Source organism: Homo sapiens, chromosome 8 (assembly GCF_000001405.40).
Source record: "Homo sapiens chromosome 8, GRCh38.p14 Primary Assembly".
In the NCBI taxonomy this organism is placed as follows: domain Eukaryota; kingdom Metazoa; phylum Chordata; class Mammalia; order Primates; family Hominidae; genus Homo; species Homo sapiens.
The window spans coordinates 38,303,570-38,318,878 of NC_000008.11; the positions used below are offsets into that span (position 1 = coordinate 38,303,570).

At 37.7% G+C, this 15,309-nt stretch overlaps 1 protein-coding gene across 2 annotated transcripts in view; it reads right to left on the reverse strand.

Moving 5' to 3' along the window:
• The window catches only part of NSD3 (nuclear receptor binding SET domain protein 3), a 112,568-nt gene that overhangs the window by 33,866 nt on the left and 63,393 nt on the right, over window positions 1-15,309 (reverse strand). The window contains exons 10-14 of one of the 2 annotated variants that reach the window (NM_023034.2): window positions 12,343-12,473; window positions 11,847-11,975; window positions 11,078-11,204; window positions 1,679-1,876; window positions 1,018-1,188 (exon numbers count right to left, since the gene is read on the reverse strand). In NM_023034.2, coding sequence (NP_075447.1) covers window positions 1,018-1,188; window positions 1,679-1,876; window positions 11,078-11,204; window positions 11,847-11,975; window positions 12,343-12,473 — 756 coding nt within the window. Of the gene's footprint in view, window positions 1-1,017; window positions 1,189-1,678; window positions 1,877-11,077; window positions 11,205-11,846; window positions 11,976-12,342; window positions 12,474-12,847; window positions 14,470-15,309 lie in introns of those variants that run through there. The other variant, NM_017778.3, reaches the window with a different exon arrangement.

Here is a 15,309-nt window from a genome sequence, read left to right on the forward strand (position 1 = left end):
GAGAGACACAAAAGCAAAACCACCTAAGATCTATCATACTACCTAAATTCTATTTTAGAAAGTTGTTATAGTACTTTCACCAAATTAAAATAACTGTCTCCTAAAGCAAAAGCAACCAACCAAACAAAAACCACTTTCATGTTCAGTATGGTCTAAATAGAATCTAACAAGCATGATGGGCCTTAGAGGCCTTGAGAATAGTTCAGAGGGAAAGTCAGAAAACTTTGCACTTAAAAACAAACCAAAGCAATATTTAGGGATATTAGTTAGTTTTTATAATGCTTACTAAGTACCAAAAAAGTTTTATTATAATATGGCTTGAGATAAAGCCAGATATTCTGTATAACATTCAACTAAAGAAGTTTGATTTTATATTTATCATGAACCCAAGTTCACTGACCCCCGTAGGGCTACAGTATTGTTTTTAGTTGATCAATCTCTTGGTGTACTTAAACGTCAACAGCTGGCAACAAGAAAGCCCACATGGCTGGCTCTGAACTAACACCACCACATATGCTGCCTTGGCTGTGTCCCATCAGGCCCTCCTCAATGCCAGACCAAAACATTATGATAAAATACAGCATAAACAACTGAAAAATGGATGTGCTAGTTTTGCCTTCCAAGTGAAATCTCAATCAGTTGAAAGTTCTGGTTTAAGATTATGAAATGGGAAGGATCTACTTTGAATAGAAGAGTTGTTTGCAGAAGGGAAAAGATTAATCTTTTAATGCTCCAAACAGAAAAACTAAGAACTTAACTATAATTCTGTTATTTTTAGAAATGCAGATTTTAGCTTAACTTATGGAAGAATTAGTATTCTAACACTTTGGACATCTAGCATTATAAAAGTTACTGGAAATGTTCATCTCTCTCAGGGATATATTACAGTGGAATTCTGCACTGGGTAGGAGATTCTACTAGATGGCCTGAGTTCTTTCCCAATGCTGAGACTCTATGTTAATGGAGAAATATGCCAATGACCTCAAAAATAAATGAAGAGAAAAGTCAGACACTCACCTCTGGCACAAACGAAACAAAAGCCTACATTTACAGCAGAAGAATTACTGCTCCGTTTGGAATGATTACTACAGATGAGAATGTAGGAGGATACTAACATGCTTCCGGCCGCAATGCAAGCATCTCCAGAGTGATAGGCAACTGGACATCTTAAACATCTCATCATGCGGCCTGTTTAAAGACAAGTCAAAAAGGAATCTAATAAGGCATCAGCGGGACATAAAAATAAGTTTCTGGAGTTGGGCTTTTTTGGGTCCCTCTGAGATGCTAGTTACAGTAGATGGAAAGCATTTTTTTCTTCCCTAGTCTGGCTCTGTCATCCTATGCTATATGGCCCCTAAATGTAAGCCTAATAGTCACGTAGAGATCATCCAAAGAAAAAATTATTTGTTCCAATGCTGCAGAGACGGTGGTATCCAATATGGCACCTACCTGAAGGACTTTCAAGGGTATTTTGAACACATGGAATTTTCTTCTCATGGTCTGAATTTAGAATGTAATCTCTACTTAACATGTACTGTGTATGTACTGTGGCTGAACTGTTAAAGCTAGAGATACACAGAAGAAGAATGCCTTATGTTGTTTGTAATATATGCTTGATAATGTTATTTGCCACTGCCCTTAAAACAAAAATCTTTGTCTCCTTCTTCAGCTGTTTTACCTTTACTTGCTTTGTGGATATCTTTCTCCATAGAGCAGGCAGAGCAGCAGTGCTGAGGACAGCGGAATCCTTTTGATTCAAAGATGGCAGTGGGGAATTTGCGGACACAGGCTTCATGATAAAATTTCCCACAAGCACCAACAGAACAACGCTTCACATCTTTACCAGACACTTTACACGAAAAACATGGGTGCTGCCCTGGAAAATTGGTGAGGAATACAAATTAAATAAAATTGACTAAAGCATATTCAAGTAGAAGCAGCTACAGACATCAAACAGCTACTCCTAAAACAGACTCTATTACTATACTTAAGAATTTAATGCACAAAAAAAATTTAAAATAAATGCTAAATTAAAATTATGTTTTAAATTTTGCTAGAATAATTGATTATCAATTTGGAGACAGAATACTAAAAACAATTTAGATCTCCAAAACTGATTCCATAGAAAAGCCAGAACAGAATTTGTTTGACATCTGGTAGCAGACAGCAGCAAAGTTTTCCCCACATAGAATAAATAAATTACCAAAGGAAAGTCTGATTCCATTAGATAATCACTGATTATTTCTATGTGCAAAATATACATAAAATGAAAACTCACAATCCTAATAAAAAAGAAAATTACAGCTAGACATATCTTATTCGAACTATAGAAAATCAAGGATAAAGAAAATATTCAAATTATCCACAAAAAAGACAATTACTTTCAAACAGAGCTGACTGAAAGAGAAAAATGGAAGCCAAAAAAACAATAGAATGATATTTTCAAAGGGCTGAAAGAAAATAATTACCAAACCAGAATTCTATACCCAGTGAAAATATTCGTCAAGAATGAAGTGAAATCAACATTCGCCAGGGAGAATTAACAAAACCTAGTTCTTTGAAAAAGAATAATAAAACTGATACCTCTGGTAAGAATAATAAAAAAAGGAGAAAGATCCTAATATTAATATCAGATATGAAAAATGGAACATCACTACCAATCCTACAAACATTAAAAAGATAGTAAAAGGATATCACTATATTTTTGCTAATAAATTTGAAAATTTAGATGAACGGACAGATTCCTAGAAAAAAAGAACTTACGAACAATGGCACAAAAATAAACAGGACATATGAATAGTTCTGTAAACTATTAAAAGAAATTGAAACTATAATTGGAAATCTTTCAACAAAAAAAAATTTTAGGCCCAGATGGCTCCACTGGTGAATATGTCCAATGTTCAAGGAGGAAAATAATGCCAAATATGAAAAAACTAAACAGGAAAAAAAGAAGAAACAAGTAAAAGACAAACAGATGTAGGGAAATATGCAACAAAAATGACAAAAGATTATGTTTTGTTGTATAAACAGTTTACATATGGAGAAAACGCACACAACATATATAAGCAAAGATAATGGAATAAGACTTACAAACTACAAATCAATATAGAAAAAAACCAAAGCAGCCTAATGTAAAAGTGGGCAGAGGATGTAAATGGGCAATTTACATAAAGACAAATAGGCAAAAGAAAATTAAAATGTGTTCATCTTCACTAGTAATCAGGTAAATGCTAACTGAAACCAGTTATAAAACAGAAAAAAACGGCCAGGCGCGGTGGCTCATGCCTGTAATCCCAGCACTTTGGGAGGCCAAGGCGGGTGGATCACAAGGTCAGGAGATCAAGACTGTCCTGGTTAACAAGGTGAAACCCCGTCTCTACTAAAAATACAAAAAAATTAGCCGGGTGTGGTGGCGGGCGCCTGTAGTCGCAGCTACTCGGGAGGCAGAGGCAGGAGAATGGCGTCAACCCGGGAGGTGGAACCTGCAGTGAGCCGAAATCGCGCCACCGCACTCCAGCCTGGGTGACAGAGCGAGATACCGTCTCAAAAAAAAAAAAAATAAAATAAAATAAATAAATAAATAAATAAATACAAAAAAACTTAAAGAGTTTGATAATACCAATTATTATTTTTGAGACAGAGTCTCGCTCTGTCACCCAGACTGGAGTACAGTTGTGTGATCTTGGCTCACTGCAACCTTTGCCTCCTAAGTTCAAGTGATTCTCGTGCCCCAGAATCCAGAGTAATTGGGACTACAGTGATAATACCAATTATTGATAAGGGTGTAGGGGGCTGGCAGGAGTTTAAGTTGGAAGCAGCTACCTTAGAAGGCAACTGGGCAATATCCATTAAAATAAAAGTACATTCACTTTCTGCCTAGAAATTCAATTTCTCAATAACTACACTGGGGAAGACTGAGAGTAAATGTTAAAGGATGTTGCCTGAAACATTGTTTGTAATTGCAAACAAGTGAAAGTAACTCAAATGTCCTTCGATAGGGGAAGAGTTAAATAAACTATGACTATATGTATACTAGGGCACTATGCAGCAATTAAATAGAATGCATCTGTATTGACATAAGAAGAGCTCCGACAGAACAATGGTATGACAGATTTGTACTAAAACACACACACACAGACACACACAAAGGTTTACAGGGCTACACGTCAAACTGACAATGGTTGTCAGGACTGGAACTAAGTAAGGGCCTAGGATTAAGACTGATGATCGAGGGTAACATCAGCAAGAACAGTAATTATAATATTTTCAAAACAATGTGGTTATGTTTTACTTGTGTAATTAGAAATAAATTTAAAATATTAACAAATGATAAGAATACTTTTAACACCACAAAACATAAATGGATAAGACACATAAACAGATAATTCACAAGAGTCAATAAAGATACAGAAAGAAATGTTTAAGCAAAGAACTGCAAATTATAATAACAAACTTGTCAAATGTTTATTGGTCATCTGAATATCATCTTTCGAAAGTGTTCAAGTCTTTTGTCCACTTTTCTTATAATGCCTGCTAAAAATCTGAAGGAAAAAATATAAGGGATAGTTTTGCTTTTTTACAGAAAGTTAGGTGAACTGCATTATTGTTCTTTGATTCTGGAAGTACCCAATCTTTACAAATTTGCTGAATTATAAAAGTTCTTTAAAATGAGTAGTTGAAACTGTGATGTTCACTTTTTAAATTGTTTTGCAGAAATAAAGTACAGTAAGGTGGGTTTTTTTTGGTCCCATTGTAAATATGTAATTTCAAAGTACATTTTTTCACCACATGGTTAAGGCCAATAAAGTACATTTTACCATGTATATAGATATGAAGGTAATTATATATTTTAAAATAACTTTTAAAAGTTTTAAAAATTAAAAAAATATATTTAAAAGGTAGGAAGTTTGACTTCACAGATTGGTTTAATAAATAAACTACTCTCTGTAAAAATAAAATAGGACTTCAGATGGTCACAGTGGCTCATGCCTGTAATCCCAGCCCTTTGGGAGGCCGAGGCGGGAGGATCACTTGAGCACAGGAGTTCAAGACCAGCCTGAGCAACACAGTAAGACCCCATCTCTACAAAAAAATTAAAAAATTAGGCAGGTGTGGTGGTATGTGCCTGTGGTTCCACCTGCTCAGGAGGCTGAGGTGGGAGGATTGAGCCCAGGAGGTCGAGGCTGCAGTGAGCTATGATCATGCCACTGCACTCCAGCCTGGGCGACAGAGCAAGAACCTCTCTCAAGAAAATATAAAATAAGCCTTCATTTATGTAATGATCAAAATAAGCCTAATATAAATGAAAATAGTGAAAACTAGTGCAAATGTTATGCTAACAGAGAGCTGAACTATCAAACTCCTTTAAGACTTAGGTTAGAGCTCTAACATGTGAGTGCTTTCCATACTCTTCCTTTTCACTAGGAAATGGCTTTCATTAAGAACAAGTCAGTCAGTGGCTAGGCACAGTGACACATGCCTGTAATCCCAGCACTTTGGGAGGCCAAGGTGGGTGCATTGCTTGAGTATGGGAGTTCAAGACCAGCCTGGGCAACATGGTAAACCTGTCTCTCTACTAAAAAAAAAAAACAAAACAAAACCAAAAAACTAGCTGGAGGCTGGGCACAGTGGCTCACACCTGTAATCCCAGCACTCTGGGAGGGCAAGGCAGGTGGATCACTTGAGGTCAGGAGTTCGGGGCTAGCCTGGCCAACATGGCAAAACCCTGGCTCTACTAAAAATACAAAAATTAGTCGGGCGTGGTGGTGTGTGCTTGTAATCCCAGCTACACGGGAGGCTGAGGCACAAGAATCACTTGAATCTGGGAGGTGGAGGTTGCAGTGAGCTGAGATTGCGCCACTGCACTCCAGCCAGGGCGACAGAGCAAAAATCTGTCTCAATAAATAAATAAATAATTAATTAAATAAAAAGCTAGCTGGGCATGGTGCTGCGTGCCTGTAGTCCCTACAGCTAATCAGGAGGCTGGGGTGGGAGGATCACCTGAGCCTGGGAGGTCAAGGCTGCAGGGAGCTGAGACTGCACCACTGCACTTCAGCCTGGGCAATGGGACCAAAAAAAAGAAGTCAGTCCATCGGTCCAGAGTCAAGGACCATGGGGGAAGTGGGGAAAAACAGAATAAGTAAAACTATCTGTTACAGAACTCTTTTTGGAGACTTATTCTATTGTACATTTTATTCAAAAGGGCAAATAAAGATGCTTTCTTTCCAGAAATCACGTTTGACTTAAATAATAGAAAGTGGTAGTATAAGAACATATTAGGTATGTACCTGCAATACTTCTTACATGTGAAGTGTTTATCTTTTGTAAACAAAGGAAAATTGCCTAAATGACCTTAAACAATGGTTTGAAGAATCACAGTTCTCACTTCTAATATGTTAGAAGTGTACCAAATAGGTACTAAACTAATTTTCATGTCATTAATTAAAAGCACTTAATTTTTTTAATAATTGTGGTAAAATATATATAACATAAAATTTAACACTTTAACCATTTTTAAGTGTACGGTTCAGTAGCATTAAGTACATTCACATTGTTACCACTGTCTGCCTCCAGAACATTTTCATCATCCCATACTGAAACTTGGTACCCATTAAAGAACTCCTCATCTCACCTCCCCTACAACCCTGGTGACTACTGTTCTAAGAATTTGACTATTCCAAGTAATTCATATAAATGCAATCATACAATATTTGTTGGCCTTTTATACCTGGCTTATTTCACTCAGCATAAAGTCCTCAAGGTTCATCCATGTTATGACATGTATCACAATTTATTTTTAAGGTTGAATAATATTCCATTGTAGGTACATACTACATTTTGTTTATTCATCCATCAATGGACATTTGGGTTGTTTCTACCTTTTGACTACTGTGAATAATGTTGCTATGAATATGAATATGACAGTACAAATATCTGTTGGAGTCCTTTTTTTTTTGAGAGAGAGTCTCACTCTGGTTGCCCAGGCTGGAGTGGAGTGATGCCATTACAGTTCACCGCAGTCTTGACTTCCTGGGCTCAGGTGATTCTCTCACCTCAGCCTCCTGAGTATTTGGGACTATGGGCACACGCCACCATGCCAGGCTAACTTTTTTTTTTTTTTTTGGTAGAAATGAGGTTTTACCATGTTGCCCAGGATGGTCTTGAACACCTGGACTCAAGCAATCCGCTCGTCTTGGCTTCCCAAAATCCTTGGATTACAGGTGTGAGACACTACGCCTGGCCCCTTCTTTCAGTTCTTTTGGGTATATACCCAGAGTGAAATTGCTTGACCATTTGTTATTCTGTTTAATTTTTTAAGAAACCATCATTGGGTTTTCAACAGCCACTACACCATTTTATATCCCCACCAACAATGCACAAGGGTTCCAATTTCTCCATAGTTAAGCCAACATGTTGTTTTCTTTTTTCTTTTTTTTTTGATACTATTCATTCTAATGGGTATCAAGTGGCATCTCATTGTGGCTTTGATTTGCATTTCCCTGATTACTTTTTTTTTTTTTTTTTAATAGAGACAGGGTTTCACCATATTGCCCAGGCTGGTCTCAAACTCCTGAGCTCAAAGAGCTCCACCTGCTTTGGCTCCCCAGTGTGCTAGGATTACAGGCATGAGCCATTGCACCTGGCCCCCTGATTACTCATTATATAGAGCATATTTTCATATGTATATTGACCATCTGCCTATCTTCTTTGGAGAACTATCTGCTCAAGATCTTTGCCCAATTTTGAATTGTTTCGTTTTTTGTTTTTGTTTTTTTGAGATGGAGTTTTGCTCTTGTTGCCCAGGCTGGAGTGCAATGGAACGATCTCGGCTCACTGCAACCTCTGCCTCCGAGGTTCAACGATTCTCCTGCCTCAGCTTCCCGAGTAGCTGGAATTATAGGCATGTGCCACCATGCCCAGCTAATTTTGTATTTTTAGTAGAGATGAGGTTTCTCCATGTTGGTCAGGCTGGTCTTAAACTCTTGACCTCAGGTGATCCGCCCAACTCAGCCTCCCAAAGTGCCGGTATTACAGACATAAGCCACCACACCTGGCTTGAGTTGTTTAGTTTTTTATTGCTGAGTTGAAGGCGTTCTCTATATATTCTGGGTATTAATGCTTTATGAGATATGTAATTTGCAAATATTTTCTCCCATTCTGAGGGTTGCCTTTACATTATGTTGATAAGACCCTTTGGTGTACAAAAGTTTTTAATTTTGATGAAGTACAATTTGTCTGTTTTTCCTTTTGTTGCCTGTGCCTTTGGTGTCATGTATATGAAATCACTGCCACATCCATTGTCATGAAGCTTTTCCTCTATGCAATTTTTTCTTCCAAGAGTTTTATAGGTTTAGCTCTTACATCTTTGTCTTTGATTCATCTTGAATTAATTTTGTTTATGCTGTTGGGTAAGGGTCCAACTTCATTCTTTTACAGGCATATATCCAACTCTTCCAGCATCATTTGTTGGAAAGACTGTCTTTTTTTCCACTGACTAGTCTTCACACCCTTATCAAAAATCATTTGACCATATATGCAAGTGCTTACTCCTGGGCTTTCTATGCCATTGGTCTATATGTCTGTCTTTATGCCAGTATCACACTGTTTTGACTTCTGTAGCTTTGTAGTATACTTTCAAATGAGGAAATGTGAGTCCTCTGACTTTGTTCTACCCAACTGTTTTTTATTAAAAATTTTTTTTCATGCTTACTGATAACATCCCATACTTAACTGTTTTTAAAGCAAATTTCCCTCTTAAATTTTCTAATAGATGTGTACCAAATTAAATACACCTAGCCTCTGTTGGAAGAATTCTCCTGGATTCTAGAGTTAGGAGAGAAGCCCTAAGAGTGTTTTAATACTGAGATATATGGTCCTTCCTATCAATATCTTAAATCAGGGATTGCATACTTGATATACTTTGGATATTTGTCCCCACCCAAATCTCCTGTTGAAATATAATCCCCAATGTTGGAAGTGAGGTCTGGTGGGAGGTGTATGGATCATGGAGGTGGATCCCACATGGCTTGGTGCTGTCTTTGCGACAGTCAGTGGGTGCTTGTGAAATCTGGTCATTTAAAAATTGTGGCCCTCTCCCTCAACTCTCTCTCTTGCTCCTGCTTTTGCCATTTGAAGTGCCTACTCCCACTTTGCCTTCTGCCATGATTGTAAGTTTCCTGAGGCCTCCTCAGAAGCCAAGCAGATACTGGCACTATCCTTTCTATACAGCCTGCAGAATTGTGAGCCACTTAAACGTCTTTTCTTTATAAATTACCCAGTCTCAGGTATTTCTTTATAGCAATGCAAGAAGTCCCTAATACAATACTTGAATGCTTAAAGGGGCCAGGCAGCATATATAAGTGACTGGAATGACTGAATTTTAGAAAAAGGAATAATGGGGAATGTGAGGAGCCAGGATTACATGCTCTATCCGTGTTCAAAAATGAAAATGCATTCTGAAGGCCAAATAAAACGATGTGCAGATAATATGACCCCGGGGCTGCCAGTTGGCAAACTGTTCACAAGTTTTACTGCAGAGTCTAAATGTGATGAATAAAATATTTTATAAGGGGAAAATTTTAAGTTATATGTTCTAAACAGCTTCCATAGCTTAGTTTATGTACATGTGTGTGTGTATTTGTGTGTGTGTGTATGTATGTGAATGAATGTGTATTGGGATATATGACATATGACTTGTGATGTCCATCCTATTCACCAGGGCAGTAGAAGACCATGGTAAAGAAAAAATAAATCTGGAGTCCAGCTGCCTGGGTTTAAATCACAGAGTCATCATGGGCTATCTTTGTGACTTTGGGGAAGCTATTAAACTCTCTAATCCTGTTTCTCCTTCTGCATAATGGAAATCATAATAGTACCTATCTCATCATGGATCAAATGAAATAGCAGGAGAAAATGCTTAGTACTTGTAGCACCTAACATTTAGTAAGTCAGTGTTCAGTTAAAAAAAAAAATTACTTGGGAGGCCAAGGCAGGCTGATCACGAGGTCAGGAAATCGAGACCATCCTGGCTAACATGGTGAAACCTCGTCTCTACTAAAAATACAAAAAATTAGCCAGGCGTGGTGGCAGGCACCTGTAGTCCCAGCTACTCGGGAGGCTGAGGCAGGAGAATGGCGTGAACCTGGGAGGCGGAGCTTGCGGTGAGCCTAGATTGTGCCACTGCACTCCAGCCTGGGCGACAGAGCGAGACTCTGTCTCAAAAAAAAAAAAAAAAAAATTACTAACTTTTTGTCTGAAAGATTTTAGGAGGCATACAATCAAATAAGAAAAGATAAAATAAATATCTGTAAGAATCCAAATAAAAGGAAAAGAAGGAGTAGAAAAATAATAAAGAGTCAAAGGTAAGATCAGCATATCATGTACACTTGCTATCTGATTGGCTTAGTTCCTCATAGCTAAAACAAAGCAAAACAAAAAACACATCAACATGTTTCCTAGAAGCACCACCATGTCATCTCCAGTTATTTTTAATTTGCCATGTTGTGACAGATTAAACAACTACGACTTGCTTTCCATGATATTAACCAGAATTATGGCTACAGAGAGAAGAAATATAAACTAGCATATTTATTTCTCTACAAATTATTTTAGTAGGTGGTAGTCTATGTATAGTGAGATAAGAAATAAATGGTGAATCCCAAGTTTAAAAAATGATTTCCAGTAGCTCCAAATTTCCACTAGAAATATAATCACTGTAGTTATGCACTGATACTTCTTCCAGTCTCTTAAAGAACTTTAAACCAATTTATTGAGCCCCCAAAATCTCAAATCCATCTGAAAAATAACTCAATTAACATACTTTATATAACTCTTTAGATAAAACACAAATTCATCTTGGTAATTTGACAGGTTTTATGGTAGAAGGCACCAGTAGGAGGAAATTTAACTACTTTTTAAATCTTGAAGCCAAATCTTAATTTGTTGAAATACCTTTGGGAAGAGAGGAGGAGGGCTAATAAAAGTGATGGGAACAAGATGTCCTAGGAGAGGTTGTCAGTGCACATTCCTGGCACAATCCCATTCATCTTTTCATGACTATCGAAATAAGTCATCTTACCAGTTTTACATTCCATGCAGATGAACTTGCTATCAGGAAGTGATGCCAATCCCAGGCACTCCAGGTGAAAGTGTTTGCAGCACTCTCCCTCACAAGGAATCAGAGAGTCACCAGAGCTTTCACAAATCTGTAATATGGCAAAAAGCAGTGGTTCTCAAACTTTGGCAAACATCAAGACCACATGGGCGGCTTGTTAAACACAAATTACCGGGTCCCTCACCCACAGACTGTGATTCAGTAGGTCTGGCGGGGGCCCCAAGAATGTGCATTTCTAATATGTATCCAGAAGATGCTGATATTGTTTGTCCTTGGCCTTCACTTTGAGAACCAGAGAACTAGACAATTACAGTATTTCCAGATACAATATGGTATAAAGTTTAAAGTCATACTTGATCTTTTAGGATTCCTTCTTTGGGATCTGCATATTTAAGTTTTCTTCACAGGGCAAAGCAGTATTTTTTCAAGAACGGTAAAAATACACTGAGAAAGTTATTACTTTAAAATTTTGAATTTAAGAAAGTTTTTCCAATCAGTCATCTGCCATTTACTTCCAATTAATTATAGTATATCACACTAAAGATTGGCATGTGGGTAAGTATTCCAACTCAGAAAGGGAAAAAAAGAACCACAAAGAGGTTTTATATCTGTAGCTTTAAAGTAATATCATAATAATTTGGAAACATATTATCCTCTTCAACAGGAGTTAAGTCTATTACTGGCAGAATATAATAGCAATTATTTCAAGCCATAGCACCAGTTACCTGCCTACCTGACATACAGTGTCCTTCTTACTCATTCCAGTGCCTCTTCTCGACAAACTTGAATCCATGGACTGCACATCAGAAACGTCTGCATCTGCAGTAGCTGAAGGGCTATCTACTTGCTTTCCAAAGCCTACCTACATAGAAAACATAGCATTTTTAAGAAAAACAAAATGAAAATTCCCTCCAAGATAAGATGCTATGAAAATCCTAGTAAGACTTGCTCAAACATTAGATCTTGACACAACCACCTTTTTCCTTCCTTTCTTTCCAAAATCCACAGATATCATAGGTCTGCTGTTTTGGGAAAAACTGTAGTTAAAATTACAAACAAACTATAGTTTTGTTATATAACATGAGAGCAAAAGAATTAAGACACTCAAAATAAACAAAGTGATTTTTTTCTATGAGTATTTTTAAAATGTCCTGATTTCCCCAAATAAATAAGGGAAAAGCATTATGTTCAAGAAAGAACACTTTGTCCAGACCCTTGCACATATTTACCTGCAGGTCACTCAGTCCTCTAGAATCGGAGTCAGATGTGTCTCTGTATGCTGAACTAGTCATTTCTACATCAGTTGAGGCGCGACTCCTTTTCTTTAGAGGTTTACAGGAATCTGAAATCTCGCTGGCACCTTAATACAACACACTGAAATTAATCCTAAAATAGTACTTAAGGTTTGTTTTAATTTTTTTGTGTGTGGGAGAATATTTTCTTTTCTCAAACTCATCTTTAGTGTGGAAAAAGCATAGCTCTCTTTGTAACACTGAAATAATGAGTCAAAACTTCAGAACTTCTGACCTTCCTGGTAGTGACTGATTTAATTTACAACCGCTCTATCAAAACATTTAATTCAGTTCTCCTCTCTAAAGCTATTTTCAGTCAACAGAGCCCACGTTCCAACCTAAAAATCAATTCTATGAAAATTGCAGGATAGCTGATGGATTTGGAGCAATTCAAAGAACCATTCAATTTGGAGGGGGAAGACATAAAACCCAACACACTGTGTAGCTTACAAATATGGTTGCAGAGACATCTCCATCTTGTTTTTATTAGGGATGTGACAAATCTTTGATTTGTATTCGATTCGTACACGGATAGTGCCATTTTCCCCCAAATTTTGCAATTCAGTTGATTATTGCCCCCCAATAAAATTTGGATGTTCATAATTGTTCATCTGAGACTTCCTTGGTGAAGTGGCATTTATTGTGACCATTAACAAGCGCTGCAGCACATCTACATATGTCATGCCATTTAGAAGGCACATTGCTGAGGGCTGTAAATGGACAATCAGTGTTCAAGTGCAGCCAAATCACGTAGAGCTGGATGGGAAGGCCTCTATGTGGAATTTGTGCGGGAAGAAATAAATAGGAAAAAAAAGGCAGAGAATAGTGTGGAATTGTTTTTTTTAAAACTGTGTGTAATACAAATCCAGCCAAAACAATAGTGCAAAAAGTTACAAAGCAACAATCTCTTGGGCTAATGCAGTATAGGCTATACAGAAACAGCCACGATGAAATGTGCAGATCAGGCACGGTGAATACCAAGGAACCAAGGAGACGGTTAATATTTCAACCCACAGTTTGTGTTTTGGATTTTTTCCCCCAAAATTTCCATACAACAAACAGACATCTAGATCAACCCAGCAAGCTATGGTGGAAGTGTGCAGTCCAGAAGAGCCCATGGAGAAACAAGTCTCCTGAGGCCATGAAGATCCGCAACAGGCTGAGTGAGAGTAGCACTTGGAACATAGCCACGTTCTGTGGTGGAGGAGGTGGGCCTCGTTAGACTGCTCAGATTACTGGAACCTCGTTATCACATCCCATTCTACAAGTTTTTCACTGAATGTTTCCTGACATCTATAAATGAGGGTGCCTGCCCATGTTAATGCTGATTAAAAAACACAAGTACACAAATCTATCTCCTTCATTGCTGGTGTATGGACCCAGAACACCATCACAAAATATTTCCTTGGCCTAAAAGATCACTGGATTAACAAGGAGTTTTAACAGAGGAACAGGAGTGCTGTACTGAGAGGCTTTCGAAGGGAAACACAGGTACCGCCATTTCCGATGAGTTTCTGAAAATGCTAGAAAAATGACAGACTGCCAAAGACAGCTGTCATGCTGTTCTCCATGATAACGGCACTAATATTAAAAAAAATAAGAACTTTTAATGATTGTAATGTATACAGTTTGGGCTGTTTGGCAAACCCCTGCAGATGTGCATTAATGATGCTTTATTTAAAAACAAAAAACCAAAAACAGTCCATGTTGAAATTGATCAGTGTAAGTTAAATGGTGGTTTTTAGGCTGGACCCATGATTTAAGCTGTACCCATCCAGCTCAAACCGAAAAAAAAAAATCATTTGACTGTTAAAGCAATTGTTCAGAGTCTTGAAGAAGAAACCAGGCAGGAAAATGCCAATAATGATGATTGGCGAAATCAAAATCGAAAACAAAGAAACTGTTTATCAAGCCGCCGACAAAGAAATCTTGCATGGAGACTACAAGTCTGGAGTTTCTGGGATGAAATTGTACAGGAATCTCAGTCCACAGTTTCCTCAATCGCTGCGGAGACGGAGCTGTCACTGAATCTGACAGAGCCCTGCACTCCCCGGTCCGCCGACCCTGTGGAATGGTGGAAACACAACGCAATCAGGCCTCCTAATCTCGCAGCGATCGCGATGTCTTTTCTTGGAGCTCCGCCAAGCAGTGTTCCCTCCGAGAGGCTGTTCAGTTCTGCTGAGGATCTCCACGGAGACCATCGCTGCAGACTTCTCCCCGAGAATGCAGAGAGGCTGTTGTTTTATTTTATTTTTAAATAATGCAATTTGCCCAGAGTAAACTACAGGTATTAAATACAGTTTGATCTCACCAAAAACGCACGAATCATGCTATGGAGTTTGTACTGTAGTCAAATTGCACACAGAAAATACAGATATAAGTTTAAGCTTTCTTAAACTTTGTGCATATCTCAAATAGATTCGCATAAGGTCATCTAATAGTGGCCATAAATGCTATGAATCATTTTAATTTACAAAAAGATTTTACAGCACTGTAAAAATAAATGTGGCAAGATTTTTTCAATCAGCTTGTCTTGTCTGATTTGTCATAGTCCATGTTTGACAAACATGAATAGCTACTATTCGGTATTCAGTCGAATACCAAAAAAAGTGGATTCGTCACATCCCTAGTTTATAAGCCAGTGAAACCCCAGAATCTTATGGAGAAAAGTTGGAAACAGTATCAAGTCTACGTTGTGTTCTCCAATTTACCAAAACAAGTAAGACTTTTCACGTGGAGGTACAGAATAAGATCAACTCTAAAAGTCACACACACACACGAACACTGGGGAATACTGCAATTTCACACTGAAGAGCAACAACGATTTACAGAGACAGACAAAAATACATGAAGTACAAATAATTCTTAAAAATTGGTTTTAATCAAGGAAATGCAAAGCAACAT